Source organism: Homo sapiens, chromosome 12 (assembly GCF_000001405.40).
Source record: "Homo sapiens chromosome 12, GRCh38.p14 Primary Assembly".
In the NCBI taxonomy this organism is placed as follows: domain Eukaryota; kingdom Metazoa; phylum Chordata; class Mammalia; order Primates; family Hominidae; genus Homo; species Homo sapiens.
The window spans coordinates 79269428-79288040 of record NC_000012.12 but is presented as its reverse complement, the minus strand read 5'-3'; the positions used below and the strand labels follow the sequence as shown (position 1 = coordinate 79288040).

Below are 18613 nucleotides of genomic sequence, written 5' to 3'. Positions count from 1 at the left end.
GAATTTAATTGTTCATAACTTACAAAAATTGAGACCTAGCTAATGTCCTATGTAGACAAAGTGCTCTACCTAAAATAACTGAAAACATCTTTTTGAGTGGTTGAAATTCTAAATAATTTGCAATAACAGATTAGTATAAACTATCACTGACTTCTTAATATTTCTTTGTTTGAATCATTTTCTCTGTCTCTCCCCATCCAAAAAATAGATCATCAATGAAAAATTAACCCCCATTAATTCTCTATATTTGAGATCTTGGTCATTTATCCAGGTCATAACAGGGGTAATAAACACCACCACTATGCTGTAAATTATAATTTTACATCATACAGAACAAATCCCACAAATATTATAGATTTATTGTCCTAGGAAGAAATGCTATCGTTATCACTTAACATTATTCAGTAATTTTAATTAGTTCTAGAACACAGGGAAACCACATTCAAATTTTATGATAATTATGAAAAAGATAGTGATCTATTGTCAAATTATTGTTTTCACAATATTGATAAAATTAACATACATATTATTCAGTCCATGTCCATCTAGGAGGTTATTTCCACACTTAATCTCCCAATAAGTTGTTTAAAGAAATCTTTATCAAGTCCTGCTTGCTATGAAAAGTGTGGAAATAAAGTAAGACATGCCTGGAAATTTTAGTTTCTACTTAAATTAACTGAAGAGAAAAATCTTTATTAGACACCTGTAGTTGAACGTTTATGCATTGGCTTTTGTGACTGTGATTAGAAATTGCCAGAAAAATCAAACCCTTGCTACTCCGAGCTCAGGCCAAAACTCTCTGAGTATGAGTACAGGCATTTCATCCATTCCATAGCTCCAAAACAGAACAAAAATGCAGGGAGTAAAACATGAGCCTTTGTGAAATTATTATCAATAGATACTATAGTGTCTTTGAGGAAAAAGAGTTTAAAACTGAAGCTGGGAAGGGGAGTTAATGTCCCTGAATGTGTAATGAACTAGGAAACAACGCAAATGTACTTAAAATGCCTGTTGTAACACCTGATTAAATTGTTCTTAAGGAGATTCAGGTTTAAGAGTTTGATTAATAGTAATTAATAGTATAAGAGGAATTTATAAAACTGCTTATATATTTTGCTATTTGGGAATAAATAAAACTTTTGTATTTGATGAAAACATTGATAATTGAAAATGTTAATTCTATAAAAAATCTGTACATTTACATTTTAATTTTAAAATATGAATTAAATATTCTTTAGAGATATTCAACATGGATATTATTTCAAAAATGAAGAGGCATTTAATAATTATCATTAATAATAGTAAACATTATCTTGAACCAAGTTGTCCAATTAATTTAGCCAAAAACAGATAGCAACATAAAGAACATCCAAATAGCTTTTTTGGGCTTGGAAAGATAACCCAGCCAGATGGATTTTATAACCAGTGTTATGGTTGTAATTGTCCTTATTAAATTGAAATGAGAATTTTGTCTTATAAGAAATAAGAAAGAAAACTTTTTCATAAGGCAAAAATTCTATCCTGTCGTGTTCTTTAGAACTGGCTCATATTTCTCTCCCTTCTCCCATGTAACTCATTATTCTTGAGAATTAATTTTTCAGCTGGATGGACATGTAGGAAAAGCAGCTTTCATCCAGTTTGATGAACAGCCGTAAAACTCAGTTATTTAACAGTGACTATGAACAGTAGAAATTAGAAAGATCCCCTGCCCAAATGCAAAACACTCAGGCACTTTTTATCTGATTTTTCTAACTCTAAACGCAATGAAGACTGGTTAAACAGATGTAATCAAAATATTCAGGCATCATTCTCATATGCCAAACCCATCAAGATGGGCCTGATGATCATGGATGCCCTTTTCTGTTCTATATGCTCAGGAGATTGGAAAACCCTGCCAAATGCTTCCATTATGCTTTGGGATCTTGAACAATGACTGAAAGGTTTGCAAAGCATCTCAAAAACGATATGGGTCCAGAAGTTGTTTATTTCTGTAATTATATGGCATAAAATAATACATTTGTTTATCTTTTTTAAACAAAATAAGAAGAAATGTAGAAAGAATACATTACCTGATCTTTCATCGTCTTCCCTAAGTCTTTTACATCTTTCATGTTAATGGCATTCTTCCCTCCTTTTTCCTTTCCCTTCTTCTTGTTTTTCTTTTTGAACAAACATTTCTTACAGATACAAAAGCAGCAGGTCAGGACTAAAAGGACTGCGACTATGGCTATTGCAATTAAGGCCCACGGTGGCACTGAAAGAAACACACAGAGAGCACTAGTCATACAACACTTAGATGTGGAAAACCTTTTAACTCATGGGCTATAAAGATATTCATTTTTTTCATTTGCATTTTTGAGCACCTGTTATGCTGCAGGTACACCATTCCTCAGTACTTTATCCATGTTGTTGTCTCCCTTGAGTGTATTGTTTCCTTTCTTTCCCACTTTGCCCTTCCAGATATGTCAAATGTCATCTCCTCCCTATTACTTTTCTTGACTCTCCAAGCTAGATTTCTAGGAACACATCTCTTCACTCATTCAGAGCCAAGCTTTGGAGTTCAGCCATTGAGTTTAAATCCTGGCTTCACCATTTACTAGCTGTGTGATCTTGGGCAAGTCATCTAACCTCTCTCTGCCTCACTTTCCTCATCTCTAAAGTGGAAATAAATTGGTAGGTACCCCATAGATCTTTCTGAGTATTAAATAATAAGATGCAGTGCCTGGCACATGGCAAAAGCTTAATAAATGGCAGCTGCTATTACTCATCTATAAAATACTAGGTGTTGTATTCTTATGTTCTGGCATGGTATGGGGCAGATATTAGTTGTATATATAGAACAACAAATGTCAAATCATAACAATAGTGAAGGTTAATTAAAAGTACTTGGTGATTTGAAAATCAAGCATGGGGAAAATGTATGCACTGAAGTTCTCCAGATGTGGGTGATGCTCATGTGTTCGGTGGCTCTTAACCCAGGTTTAGATTTTGGCTTCGGCCACTTAGAGGCTGTGTGACTCTACTCAGATTGCTTCACTGTTCTGAGTTTCTGTTTCCTCCTCTATACAGTGAAGATTACAGTGGTACCCATTTCATCTGGCTTAAAGATGAAAGGGATTAATATGTTAAAAAGCTTTTAATGCATCTGGAACATAGCAAGAGCTCAATTAATGTTAGCTATCAATTCTTTTTTTTTTTTTTTTGAGATGGAGTCTCGCTCTCTTGCCAGGCTGGAGTGTAGTGGCACGATCTCGGCTCACTGCAAACTCTGCCTCCTGGGTTCAAGCAATTCCCCTGCCTCAGCGTCCCGAGTAGCTGGGACTTCAGGCACACGCCACCATGCCCAGCTAATTTTTATATTTTTTTTAGTAGATACGGGGTTTCACCATGTTGGCCAGGATGGTCTCGATCTCCTGACCTTATGATCCACCTGCCTCGGCCTTGCAAAGTGCTGGGATTACAGGCGTGAACCACCACACCTGGCCAAAGTTAGCTATCATTTCTTTATAGTCAAGGCATGGTGGGTAAGGCAGAGAGCTCAGGACATATGAAAAAACATAAACTACTCACACAAGTAAATACCTAAAAAGCAAGATAAATACACAGAGGGGAGTTTAGTGAAAATGCAAAGGCAATGAGAGGAGGACGGATGATTTTTAGATAAGAGGAGAGGCTTAGGTTTACAGGCTGTTTAAAATAATAGAACATATATACATAAATATACTAAAATAAACATTGAGTTTTCTATTACAGTTGTCTCTCTGATAAAAGTTAATATATTTTCTTATTTGGTATGCCTTACACCATGTGCTTATAAAAAATAAGGTGACATGGAAACATTTATGATTTCAGTTAGATTGGAAGGGAAGTATTCATAATCCAAATCACAGCTATTGAGATTAATCAGAAGTAATTAGATTTGTCTGTTGTAATAAAAAAAAAAGATACTGGGCACTGAAATGATAAGAAAAAGCCAAATAAACATTACTAGAACCAATGATTGCTGAACACCAGTCAGGAATACTTTGATAAAGTAAAAACACTTAAAAATTAACCTCTCTTCAAAATTGAGAAAATCTACTCTCTTTGCTTTTCCTCTGCATTTAGTATCATTGTGCAGAATACTTACTATGCATAATATTCTGGCTTATGACTGGATACTAGATGTTAACCTAAGGACATAAAACTACAACTTTTGAAATTGTGTTTTCTACCAAAGAAATACTTATGTGACAGTTACAGATAAACCCACACCTAAAGAAGTTTTCTTCCAGTTCTCTAAATTTATTAAACAAGGTAAAGATTACATAAAAAGTAAATTATTTTATGTAACCAATGATATCATTCATAATACTTCATTTAAAAGCATCTATCTCCATTGATTTAGTTAAAATCCTGTCATGCATGAACAAGAGAGTGTATGTATTCATTGCGGGAAAGACAGCATTCATAATGACCCTTCATTTTGAACCTCATAAATTATTCTCCCAGTTGGACTTGTGTGGTGATAGTCGCTCAGAGAGCTACATAAAAGTCTCTTAAATTGTACAAGACAAGACAAAGATGATTTGACAAGTTCACAAAAAGAAAATAGTGAAAGCAAAGGAACATCATTTAATCAAAGGGAGTTAAAGAGCTAGGAACATGAGATTACAGGAAGAAATTTGAAATAATGCAACTTGAAAGTAATTTATAACCACTGAAAAACTTTTGTTTTATGACTTTTATTTCTTAAAGCACTGCTGTCTTTTAGATTTGCCTTCAGTTGATCTTCTGAATAACTTTAAGTTGGAATATGCTGTATTAAATATAATGAAATTAACAGAATTTTCTTCACAATGTATTGGCACCTTTAGATAGACAAAATAAAAAATGCTTAACGTTATCATTTTGTATAGCTATAGGATAGCTTCACTCATTAGTCATATATCATGTAAAGAAACAGCCATTTTTAGTAAATAGAGTTACTTGGATGCTCATGTTAAAATTTTATTTAATTGTGTAGAGTAACCAAATATTTAAAATTTGGCAAGTTTACTAAGAAACAACACCCACAGTATTATTCATCTGCAGTATTTGTAGAAACATGTTTCAATATTGGTCAGCAAATCTTGTGGAATATATTTTGGATCAGGCTAAAAGTTTATTGAAGACCTACCTACCTGTTATGGCCCAGCAATTTGGCTACAGTTATAGATACATTATCTTATTTATTCTTTGCAGCAGTTTTGTTCAGTATCACTGCAGTTTTACAGAGGAAAAACTATAGGTTGAATAGTTTGAGAAATTCAAATTTATCTTTAGGTCGTTAGGTTAAAAATGTGAATATTAAAAATGTATACGGAGAAAAAATTTGTATCTAGCTTTAAAGTCTCTTTAATAGAACATATTAAATTAAATAATTCAGTGAAGCAAATAACAGCATAAAATGCAGTGATTTTTTAAATACAAAATAAGAGTTTCAGTCAAAAATAGTCTCATCAAAATACTGCTACAGGCAGAAAACTATCAGTTTATTGTTATTGCTACCCAACTACCATTACATGGAAGTTTATAATAACAATTTTAACATTCAACTTAAAGGCCTTTCAGCAGAAAATAATTGACTAGTATAAAAACTCTATTAAAAATTTTATTTTCATTTTCTAGTTAATGAATCAATCTCACATATATTATCTGACCCAAAGGTAAATTGATACATAATAATTAAGTACAAGGCAAATTAATTTAAAACTGCTTCTGATGTTTTAATTAATACCTTGTGGTAGACATGATAATGGCCCCTCCAAGATGACCACATCCTATTTTCTGGAAGCTGTGAATACCTTACCCTGCCTGGTAAGAGGGACTTTGCAAGTGTGATTAGATTAAGGATCTTGAGATGGGGAAATTATCCTGAATTATCTGAGTGTAGACTCAATGCAATTACCAGAGTTTTTATAAGTGAAAGAGGCAGGCAGAAATGTCAGAGTCCAAGAGAGAGAGGGAGATTTGAAGAGTCTCTGTTGCTGGTTTTGTAGATAAAGAAAGGGACCATGAGCCAAGGAATGCAGGTGCCTCTTGAAGCTGGAAAAGGCAGGGAAATGGATTCTCCCCTACACCTTCAAGAGAGAATTGGCCCTGCTGACGCCTTGATTTCAGCTCAGTGAAACCAATTTCAGATTTCTGACCTCCAGAATGGGAAAATAATAAATGTGTGTGGCTTTTATGACAGTAAACTTGGAATAATTCATTATAGCAACAATAGGAACTCAAGTGATACAAAGAAGACCTCAAGAGATTTGTAATATATGCTGTATATAGGTAACTATACATTAGTAATATTCATGTGGGCTAGTCATGTATTTTCTGCTGTCTTTTCATTTATTTATTTATTTTAGTAGCTCTAGGGGTTTGGTTAAATGGATGAATTGTATAGTAGTAACGTCTGGGCTTTTAGTGTACCCATCACCTGAATGGTGTACATTGTATCCAATAGGTAATATTTAATCTCTCATCCCCTTCCCACTTTTGAGTCTCCAGTGTTCATTATACCATTCTATATGCCCATGCATACCCATAGCTTAGCTTTCACTTATAAGTGAGAATATGCAGTTTTTGGTTTTCTGTTTCTGAGTTACTTCACTTAGGATAATAGCCTCCAATTCTAACCAAGTTGCTGCAAAAAGACATTATTTTGTTCTTTTATTATAACTGAGTAGTATTCCATGATCTATCTATCTATATCTATCTATATCTCTATATCCGTATCTGACATTTTCTTTATCCACTCATCCATTGATGAGCACTTAGGTTGATTCCATACCTCTGCGTTTGTGAATTGTGCTGCAATAAACATATAAGTGCAGGTGTCTTTTTGATATAATGGCTTCTTTTTCTTTGGGTAGATATCCATTAGTGGGATTGCTGGATCAAATGGTAGAACTGTTTTTAGTTCTTTGAGAACTCTCCATACTGTTCTGCATAGAAGTTGTACTAATTTACCTAATACATCAACAGTGAGTAAGAGTTCCATTTTCACAGCATCCATGCCAGTATCTATTTTTTTTTTTTTTACTTTTTATTAATGGCCATTCTGACTGTAAGGTGGTATCTCATTTTGGTTTTAATTTTTATTTCTCTGATGATTAGTGATGTGGAGCATTTTTTTCATATGTTTGTTGGCCACTTGTATGGCTTCTTTTGAAAAATCTCTCTTCACATATTCCCACTTTTTATGGGATTATTATCTTTTTTTCTTGCTGATTTGAGGTCCCTGTGGATCTTGGATATTAGCCGTTTGTTGGATGTATAGTTTGTGAATATTTTCTCCCATTCTATAGGTTGTCTATTTACTCTGTTGATTATTTATTTAGCTGTACAGAAGTTTTTTAATTTAAGTCCTATTTATTTATTTTTGTTTTTATTACATTTGCTTTTGGGGTCTTGGTCATAAATCTTTTACCTACACCAATGTTGAGAAGAGTTTTTTTCCCTAGGTTTTCTTTTAGAATCTTTATGGTTTTGGGTCTTACATTTAAGTCTTTAATCCAAGTTGTGTTAATTTTTTTTGTATATGGTCAGAGATAGGGATCCAGTTTCATTCTTCTGTATTTGGCTATCCAATTTTCCCAGCACCATTTGTTGAATAGGATATCGATTCCCCAGTGTATGTTCTCATCGGCTTTGTTGAAGATCAGTTGGCTGTAGAGACGTGGCTTTATTTCTGGGTATATTCTGTTTCATTGGTCTATATGTCTACTTTTATATTACTTTTATTTTACAACCATGCTGTTTTGGTTGCTAGAGCCTTGTAGTATAATTTTAAGTCAGGTAATGTGATATTGCCAGATTTGTTATTTTTGTTTAGGATTGCTTAGGCTATTCAGGCTCTTTTTTGGTTCCATATGAATTTTAGTGTTTTTTTTTCTAATTCTGTGAAAAATGATGTTGATACTTTGACAGTAATTATATTGAGTCCGAAGATTGCTTTGGATAGTATGGTCATTTTCACAATATTGATTCTTTTAATCCATGAACATGGGATGCTTTTCCATTTGTTTGTGTCATCTATGATTTCTTTTATCAGTGTTTTGTAGTTCTCCTTGTAGAGATCTTTCATCTCCTTAGTTAAGCATATTTTTAGGTATTTTATGTTTTTTGCAGCTATTATAAATGGGATTGAGTTCTCGATTTGATTCTCAGCTTGATCATTATTGGCATATAGCAGTGGTACTGATTTACGTACCTTGATTTTGTACCCTGAGACTTCATTAAATTCATTTATCAAATCTAGGAGTCTTTGGGGTTTTCTATGTATACATTTATATCAACAGCCAACAGAGACAGTTTGACATCCTCTTTTCCAATGTGGATGCTCTTTATTTCTTTATTTTGCCTGATTGTTCTGGCTAAGACCTCCAGTACTATGTTGAATGGAAGTGGTAAAACTGGGAGCCCTTGTCTTGTTCTGGTTCTTAGGGGGAACACATTCTACTTTGCCCTCATTCAGTATGATGTTGGCTATGGGTTTGATGTATCTGGCTTTTATTATTTTGAGTTATGTTCCTTTTCCTTCTATTCCTAGTTTGTGGAGAATTTTTACCAGGAAGAGATGCTAGATTTTATTGAATGATTTTTCTACATCTATTGATACGATCATATGGTTTTTATTTTTAATTCTGCTTATGTGGTGAATCATGTTTATTGACTTGCATATATTTATCCCTCCTAGCATCCCTGGAATGAAACCCACTTGATTGCGGTGAATTAATTTTTTCATGTGCTGTTGGATTTGGTTTTCTAGTATTTTGTTGAGAATTTTTGCATCTATGTTCATCAGGGACATTTCCTATTCGGCTGTGTCCTTTTCTGGCTTGGTTATTAGGGTGATACTGGCTTTGTAGAATGAGTTAGGGAGGATTCTCTCCTTCTTGATCCACTGGAGTAGTTTCGGTAGGATTGATGTCAGTTTTATGACTGGTAGAATTTGGCTATGAATTCATCTAGTTCTGGGCTTTTCTTTGTTGTGAGGTTTTTTTTTTTTTTTTAGTATTAATTCAATTTCAAGACTTGTTATTGGTCTGTTCAAGAGTTCTATTTCTTCCTGATTCAGGCTTGGGGGGGCTATATGTTTTTAGGAATTTATCTATTTCCTCTAGATTTTCTAGTTTGTTTGCTTAGAGGTGTTCAGAGTAATCTTGAATAATACTTTACATTTCTGTAGTATCTGTTGTAATGTCTTCATTTTCATTTCTGATTGAGCTTATTTAAATTCTCTTTCTTCTTTTTTTGGTTAATCTAGCTATTGGTCTATCGATTTTATTTATCTTTTCAAATAACCAACTTTTTGTTTCATTGATCCTTGTATTTGTTGGTTTCAATTTCATTTAGTTCTGCTCTTTATTATTTCTTTTCTTCTGCTAGGTTTGGGTTTGGTTTGTTCTTGTTTTTCTAGTTCCTTGAGGCATGACATTAGCTTGTCAATTGTGATGTTTCTGTCTTTTTTGTGTAGGCATTAAGCATTGTAAACTTCCCTCTTAGCTCTGCTCTTGCTGTATCCCAGAGATTTTGATACATTGTGTTACTGTTATAATTCCTTTCAAAAATTTTTAAAAATTTCTGTCTTAATTTCATCATTGACCCAAAGATCATTCAGAAGCAGGTTTTAAATTTCCATGTGTTTTTTATAGTTTTGAGAGCTCCTCCTAAAATTGATTTTTAGTTTTATTCTGCTGTGGTCTGAGAAGATACTTGGTAGGATTTAAATCTCTAAAAATTTATTGAGACTTGTTTTGTGGCCTGTCATATGGTCTATCTTGGAAAATGTTCTATGTGCTGATGAGAAGTATGTATATGCTGCACTTTTGGGGCAGAATGTTTTGTAAATATTTGTTAGGTCCATTTGTTCCAGAGACCAGTTTAAGTCTAGTGCTCCCTTGTTGACTTTCTGCCTTGACAATCTGTCTACTTCTGTCAGTGGATTGTTGAATTCTCCCTTATTACTGTATTGCTGTCTATCTCTTTTCTTAGGTCTGGTAGTATTTGTTTCATGAATCTGAGAGCTCTGATGTTAGATGTGTATATATTTATGATTGTTATATCTTCTGCTTGAATTGATTCTTTATCATTATATAATGACCTTCTTTGTCTTTATTACTGCTGTTGATTTAAAGTCTGTTTTCTGTGATGTAAGAATAGGTACTACTGCTTGCTTTTGGCTTCCATTTGCATGATATATATTTTCCCACTCTTTTATCTTGACTCTGTAAGAATCTTTATGTGTTAAGTTGGTCTCTTGAAGGAGGTAGATATTTGGATTATGTATTTTATCAATTCTGCCAACCTATATCTTTTAAGTGGAGAATTTAGAACATTTACATTCAAAGTCAATATTGATATGTGGGTAACTGTTCCATTCATCATGTGGATCATTAATTGCTTTGTATTCTCCACTGTGTTATTATTTCATAAGCTCTATGAATTTATAATTTTGAGTGTTTTTATACTGGTGAATATCAACCTTTTGCTTTGATGTTTACCATTCCTTTGAGCATTTCTTGTAGAGGTAGTCTAATTGTGACAAATTCTGTCAGCATTTGTTTGTCTGGGAATGACTTTACTTCACCTTTATTTATGAAATTTAGTTTTGCAGGATACAAAATTCTTGGCTGATAGTTCTTCTGTTTAGAAGACTAAAGACAAGACCCCAAGGCCTTCTGGTTTAGAAGGTTTCTGCTGAGAAGTCTGCTGTTAGTCTAATAGGTTTTCCTTTATAAGTTATTTGATTTCCTTTATATGTTATTTCTTTTATAAGTTATTTTGTCTCACTACTCTTAGAATTCTTTCCTTCACATTGATTTTATATAACCTGATAATTATATACTGTGGTGATATCCTTTTTGTAATGTATCTCCCAGGAGTTCTTTGAGCTTTTTGTGTCTAGATGTCTAATATTCCAGCAAGACCAGGGAATATTTCCTCAATTGTCCTCTCAAATAGGTTTCTAAACATTTTATTGTTGTCCCCTTCTCCTTCTTCTTCCTCTTCCTCTTCCTTTTCTCCTCCTTCTCCCTCCTCCTCCTCCTCTTCCTCCTCCTCCTCCTCCTTCTTCCTTCTTCTTCTTCTCCTTCCTTCATCATTTTTCCTTCTTCTTCTGGATTGTTAGGTTTTGACATTTTATGTAATGCCACATTTCTTGGAGACTTTATTTCTTTTTGTTTTTGTTATTTTTGTCTGATTGGGTTAACTTAAAAGCCTCATCTTCAAGCTCTTAATTTCTTTCATCTGCTTGGTCTAGTTTACTGTTAAAATTTTCAACTGCGTTGTGTAATTCCCTAAGCAAGTCTTTTATTTCTAGAAGTTCTGGTTTTTTTGTTTTTTTTTTTTTGATGGAGTCTTGCTCTGTCACCAGGCTAGAGTGCAGTGGCGCGATCTTAGCTCACTGCAACCTCTGCCTCCCGGGTTCAAGTGATTCTCCTGCCTCAGCCACCCTAGTAGCTGGGACTAGAGGTGTGTGCCACCATGCCCAGCTAATTTTTGTATTTTTAGTAGAGATGGGGTTTCACCATGTTGGCCAGGATGGTCTCGATCTCTTGACCTCATGATCTGCCTGCCTTGGCCTCTCAAAGTGCTGGAATTACAGGCATGAGTCATTGCGCCCCACTAATTCTGTTTTTTTTGTTTTGTTTTTTAAAGAAATATTTGTTTTTAGATAATTTTTCATTTATATCCTGAATTGTATTTTTTGATTTTTTATGTTGGTTTCCAACTTTCTCTTGGATTGCACTGAGAAACTTTGCAATCAATTTTTTGAATTCTTTATCTGGTATTCCAAAGATTTCATTTGATTTGGATCCTTTGCTGGAGAGTTAGGGTGATCTTTTGGGGGTGTTATAAAACTGTTTGTTTGTTTGTTTGTTTTATATTGCCAGAATCATTTTTCTGGTTCTTTCTCATCTGGGGATATTTCTTCTTATTATTTAAAAATTTATTTTGATGGAGCTTTGAGGTTGTGACTATAATGTGTATAGTTTATGATTGACTAGCTTTGGCTCTGGGTGCTTTCCATGTCAAAGACTCTGTATGAGTTCCTTAGATATAGAGAATCTTTGTGCAATGACTTTCTCACATGCTGCTTGTAGTAGCTATGTACTGGATGTGTAAGCAGGTTTACTGTCTCCTGTGGGGCTAGGGTGGCAGAGGTCTCATGAAGCTTACCTCATTCCCCAGTCATGTGTACTTCCCTCCCCACACCCTCAGTATTTTTTCACTGGGTTGAACAGTTCAGCCTTCAGGCCAGTAGAAGCCACCTAAGGGTAAGAACTGCCTGTGGCTGAAGCAGCTGGGTAAATGCAAAACCCAATAGTGGGCAAAAGTCCCAGCTCTGATAGAGGCGGCTGGAGGAGCTCCCAGCGAAATACATTGAAATCTTTACAGGGGAGGGAGGGAGTCACCTCAGCTCCACTATGAGGCCAGCACAAAAGTGACCTACCTTCCTATCATGCCCCCATCCCAGGATTTTTTATATTCAGATCAGATAGGCACCTCGGTCCATCTGCAGGAATACTGATATTCATGTAGAGGGGGAGTGGAACTCCACCCCTCTTGCAAGCCTGAACCTGGAGGGCACACCTCCCTTGGGGACGCAGTCACCCCCAAATGTTCCAGAAAGGCTGTGTACAGGTGCACTCTCACTGAGTTTTCACAGGAGAATTCCTGGGTGTGCCTGCAGCAATGGCCAAGGGAGACAAGAAGTACCCTTCTCCAAATCTCTTCATGAGCACAGGGGCTGCTTGACTGCTGTGCAGAGCCATAGTCTTCCTCCACTGAGCCCAGCACTCTGCCTGTGCCTCTGCTTAAAGAGATGCAGCTGTTCTTTGCCCACAAGCAGAAAGTTCTGGAATAGAGAAAAACTCTCTGGTTTCTTTTGTCCTGTGGGGTGCTCCCTTGGTGTGGTGCACTCCCTTTTCCCCTAGGAGTGGCAGTCCCTTAGGGTCAGAAGACTGTGAATTCTCCTGCTCCTCTGGATCTAGCCACCTGGTGGGGCTGCCACAACCCATGCTGGTGGTGGGTGGAGCTGGACAAGGCTGATCTGTCCTCTGGTCTCCCAGTGGCAGGTGCAAGCACCAGCTCTGATGGGGGTGACAGGGAAGTGATGTATCTCTCTAAGATTTCCTTGGTTATAAATAGCCTTAGTGTGGTGGCTTTCTCAATTGCCAGCTACAGTGAGCATGTTCACTATGAGTACTATGTTGTGTCAGCAGATGTTGTAATTGGCTGTGCCAGTTGACCTCCTGCCAGGAGGTGACACTTTCAGGAGGGAGCCAGCTGTGGCTGTGGGATTTATGCATGGCCTAGGTTACCCAGGAAGAGTACTCAGATATCCCAGGAGATGGGTGGGGCCATCGAACTCTCAAAAGTCCCTATCCATTGTCTGCTACCAAGGCATATAAAGGAGGTGAAGCTGTGTGGGGGTTGGGTGAGCCAAGTTTGCGCTGCGGCTGCCCAAGTGCAGATGCAAAGCAGCGGAGGTTGAAAGGAAGTTTCCTGGCCACTGGGGTAATGTTCCAGAGAGGAGTGGAACCATTTCTGCTGCACAAAACAGTCTGCACAGGAAGAGAGGGGCAGCAGACCACAGTGAGACCCACTCAGCTCTCATGCCCCTGACATGGTGTGTCTCACACCTGCAGACTTCAGCAGAAGAAAGCTGTAACTGCCAGCGGAATCTCAGGCAGTTCATGCTCAGAATACAAAACTGACCCAGGATGCAAGACTTCCCACTCAAGACACAAACAATGGCTCTCAGGCCACACCCTTCCTGGATTGACCCGCAAAGCAGAGGTGTCCAGCTCCCGCACCTGTGGCAAGAGCACACTTCCCACTTGTGCTTAGCTCTGGCCTTCGGGGTTCATCCCCACTTGAGATTAGATCACGAATCTCATTTGGGAGTTTCTTTCTTTCTTATTTATTTATTTTTTCAGACGGAGTCTTGCTTTGTCGCCAGGCTGGAGTGCAGTGGCACCATCTCGGCTCACTGCAACCTCTGCCTCCTGGGTTCAAGCGATCCTCCTGCCTCAGCCTCCCGAGTAGCTGGGACTACCAGTGCGTGCCACCACGGCCAGCTAATTTCTGTATTTTTAGTAGAGACGGGGTTTCACCATGTTGGCCAGGATGGTCTCCATCTCTTGACCTCGTGATCTGCCAGCATCGGCCTTCCAAAGTGCTGGGATTACAGGCGTGAGCCATCACGCCCCACCACAGTTGGGAGTTTCTGGCAACCTCTAAGCGCTGGCTGAGTTTAACTTGCCAACTTTTGGAGGATTTTACGAGTTAGGATCAGGAATGTCTTCCTTCTGTTTCACTGGGGTCTAGGAGTGCCTGCAAAGTGTGTCCTGATGCCGCTCCTCATATCCTCCTCGCTGCTCACAAAATCAGCTTCAGTGCTGGGTAGGGTTAAGGCGCTCCCCTGTGGCCTGAATTGCCAGGCTCTGCAGTGGAAATGAGAATCATGGTGATGGTCTCTCCCTCTTTTGCCCTTTGGAGACTCACAGTTTTCTGCCTCACTGCCTACTGCTCCTTTGAAAGTGAAGTTTCTTTCACTTTTTCTGTTAAGTTTCTCTTTTCCTTCTTGGATAAAAGTTCACAATGTGTGGCCAGGCATGGTGGCTCATAACTATAATGCCAGTACTTTGGGAGGCTGAGGCAGGAGGATCACCTGAGTCCAGGAGTTCAAGATCTAGGCAACATGAGACCTTAGCTCTACAAAAAATAATAAAAAAAAATAGCTGGATGTTGTGCATACCTGTGGTCCCAGCTATGTAGGAGCTGAGGTGATAGGATCACTTAAGCCCAGGAGTTTGAGCCTGCCATGAGCTATGATTGTGCCACTGCACTGCAGCCTGAGTAACAGAGCGAGATATTGTCAAAAAAAAAAAAAAAGAAAGAAAAAAGGTAACACACACTATTTTGCTCTCTCCAAGTGGCTGAGGCACACTAACAAAGGCTCCAATCCGCTATCTTGGGGGTAAAAAACTGTCTTTTCTTCTTATCTACCCTTTCTATCTATTCATTCTGCAACCAGTCTCAAGACTCTAACATTGTACTCAGGATTCTCCAAAAGATAATGAATAGCTTTTTTTGGTCAAACCCAAACAACACTGTCTGTGGTATTAGAAAATCTTGATCACATAATCCTTCTTAAAATTTTCTTCTGCTTTTATTTTCATGTTACTGTTCCCTACCAGCATGTTCTGCTACATCTCTACATTTTTCCCCTCTCCTTCCCTTTCTATTCTCAAGGCTTGAATGTGGTTGCTACTTAAGGTGGTTCTCAGCCCCTTGGTTATCTTCCCATTCACTCATTGTTGAGCACATGCTTTCCCATGCCTCACTACTCGTTCAGTTACTCTATTCTACTCCCTATTCTATACTCCAGGAGTGTATTCCCAAAGTCTATAGAATGCTTTGTGCATCCTTTATCTCCTTCCCAAACCAGTTCTCCAAAACAGCTCCATGGCTCTGTCGGTGCTTCTGTCGTTTCCTACCCCATTGGAAAAATGGGGAAATACATACTCCCAAATCCAACTGGTTGGTAAGCTTTGCCATTTCTCCTTCAATGTGTTTTACTCTTCTTTTATGTCTATTTATAAGGTGTAGACCTGATATTATCTCCCATCTGATCTCTTTTCCCATCAATTATCTCCTCTGTCCATTTTACCCGTTCATTGTAATCAGATAAAACTTTCCAATATATAATTATCAATTATTTTGTGCACAGTGTTCAAAGTCCTCTGTCATTTAGCCCATCCTACTTATTTGTGTTTATTTCTCACTGTTCCCCCACACTCACCTCTATTCTCATCAGACTGGGTAAGTTGTTCCCTGCTCAATTCTACTCCTGTGTTTTCTAAAGTGCATTCTTTCTTTTTTCAAATGCTATTCTTCTTCCTCTCCAGTCATTTAAATAATACTTCCTTTTCAAGGCTTACCATATGCCTCACTTAGCATTGATGGATTTTTCAATAAAAATATCGGATACATCTGTTAAAATCTGCTCCCCATTGGTAGAAATATTGACTATGTGATACAATACATTGAGTGGTTTATGTTAGATGGGTATAAAAAGATGCATTAAGAAAAAAAGAGATAAATGTGTGCAAATGTATAAAATGTATCTTAATAAACTCTCTTCCCATACAAGAAATGTTTTTCTCACCGACTTAAATCTTGGCTCTCTGTAGATTATTCATGACACAAAGCACTGATATTAATACAAACACAATAGAAATACTTGGAATCATTTAGAAATAAATTAGTATTAGCAAGTCTTTTGTTGAAAAAAAGATCTTCCTTTATCAAGAAAGCCTGTTTTTTCATGACAAGTAGGCATAAATTGAGCAGTTAAAAATTGTGCAAAGAAAAATATTTATTGAGCATCTACTATGTGCAAGGCATTTTTCTCAGGATTGGGATACAGTGCTAAGGATGGTTTGTGCAATCATGAAGCTTATTATTTATTTCCCAGGTGTTAAAATCTCAGTCTTATTTATTTTACTAAAAGAACTCAATTTCTCATATTTGCTAAACTCAGCTCTTAGAACATAATACGGTACATTTTTCAAATGAAATCTACATGGCCTAATAGGCTCCTGTATACAAATTTAGTGCTTCAGGGATACAACTATTGTGAAGCCAACTAACAAATATTCTTTCTACAATAAAAATATAACTCTCGGATGGAAAAACGTCATTATTTCTTCTTCCAGGGAGTTTTGGCACTAAATAAATTTTTTAAAAAATTATTTACTTAAGGAGTCCTGACATATATATATTTTAAAAGTAAATGCTCCAAATATCTTTCTCTTTAATTGAGCATTGTGAAAACAAAGATGAAATCTTCACCAAGAGCAAGGGTGTTGCAGAGTATACATTTTAAAAAGGAAAATCTTTGGTATTATAGACTAGCAGCTGTGCATGTCAAGTTCATGCTTCCAAATCTGAGGCCTGTTCATCAGACATTCATTGAATCTCACACCTACTGAATGAACAATTGGGGAGGAGCCCCTTTTCTAATTTATACAATGTGCCCTATGGCTAAGGGGAGGCAGGCTCTATGCGGTTCTACGCATTTATTTCCCAATGGATCTTTTTTGCAGTCCCTAAAATGCCTGAGTCAGTGCTCAATAAATATTAGATGACTTGAAGGAAACCCACATAGCCATGTTCTTAAGCTCAAGTAGAAGTAGAGCGGACAGTCTTTGAAGTACGCCACTATCTCAAGGGGCTTTTCCTTAGCACTGATTCTCTTCATCCTCATTCCCATTCATAGTCAGCTATTTCTGTCCCCTAGGCTGGAAAACTTTGGTAGATTTACTCACTGGGATCTTGGTTTAATCTACGGCATAATTCATTGTCTTTTGTATTTCTGCCTTGGTTTCACTTTTAAGGGCAGATTTGTATTATTAGTTCCATTGGCATTTATCATATTAAGAAACAACCTTAAATCCATATCTTTTTCACAGGATGAGCTATATTTTCATCCCTGGAAAAATATAAGCTTGTACATTTGTAACAGTCCCAGATATTTCAGCCAAGAGCCTCAAGACAATACAGGTAATACCATTGCTATGGTCACCACAAAAATTCAGCAGTAACTTCAAGCATTTTCTACCTTCAACATATCTCTATTTTGTCTTATGAATGCTTCACCACTGCACTAATGTGTGCATTATTCATTTTATGAATAATCTACATGTTTCTTCATTCTTATATTTACTGATGCTTTTTGCCAATTTCTAGTTTTACTCAAAATAATCCATCATCTTTCTAGATCATTATAAGTAGATGCAAGGTGCAGAATATAATATGGAAATAATTATTCTGCTGTTAACTAGCACAAAAAATCTTTTTCAAAGTCTTGCTTTTGGGGCTGTTTATGAATAATTTTCAAAAACACACAAGGATAATCATTTTTCAAAAATCAGCAAAAATAAAAACAAGCTTTTTCTAAATTATACAATACAAATGGAAAAAAGTTCTGGAAATATGTGCATTAATACACTCATTAGCCACCTCTGGAGACAGAACATTAAATGCATATTTGAAAAAGTATGTAAAGTCTCATAGAACATAATTTAAGATTAAATCAATCAGAGGTCCAAATGAAGAATTTCTCATTATAGCCTAAAATGGCTTCAAAGACTACCAATTCTTGGCCCCAGGGTACTGAAGTATCTTTTTTCCTTTAGAATGATAGTTCTAAACCTTTTTTGAATCATATGTCCAGTTTAAAATATGATAAAAGTTGTGGACTCTTCATGGGAAACTGCATATATCCGTGTGTGCATTGTGTGTGTGTGTGTGTGTACTTTTTCATACAGTTGGTAATATGTGGTACCCGAGTGCAGATTATTGTTCTCCAGGTCTGGAAGACAACTGGACTCCAAATTAAAAACCTGTTTCTCAGAGCATCAAGGCAAGACACACCAAGGCCAAAGGAAAAACGTATTCCTGCATCAGATCATTTAACCGTTCATTTCTTTCCTACTGACAATCTGCTGTGTGTTTAAACTATACAGGGGTGGAGTGAGAGAACTTATGCAGAGGTGGAGTGAGAGAACAGAGAACACAGAAA

At 36.7% G+C, this 18613-nt stretch overlaps 1 protein-coding gene across 16 annotated transcripts in view; it reads right to left on the bottom strand.

The window, feature by feature from the left end:
* The window catches only part of SYT1 (synaptotagmin 1), a 588027-nt gene that overhangs the window by 163968 nt on the left and 405446 nt on the right, over positions 1 to 18613 (bottom strand). For all 16 annotated transcript variants that reach the window (NM_001135805.2, NM_001415940.1, NM_001415943.1 and 13 more), the window contains one exon: positions 2070 to 2254. In NM_001135805.2, the coding sequence (NP_001129277.1) occupies positions 2070 to 2254 (185 nt within the window). The remainder of the gene's footprint in view (positions 1 to 2069; positions 2255 to 18613) is intronic.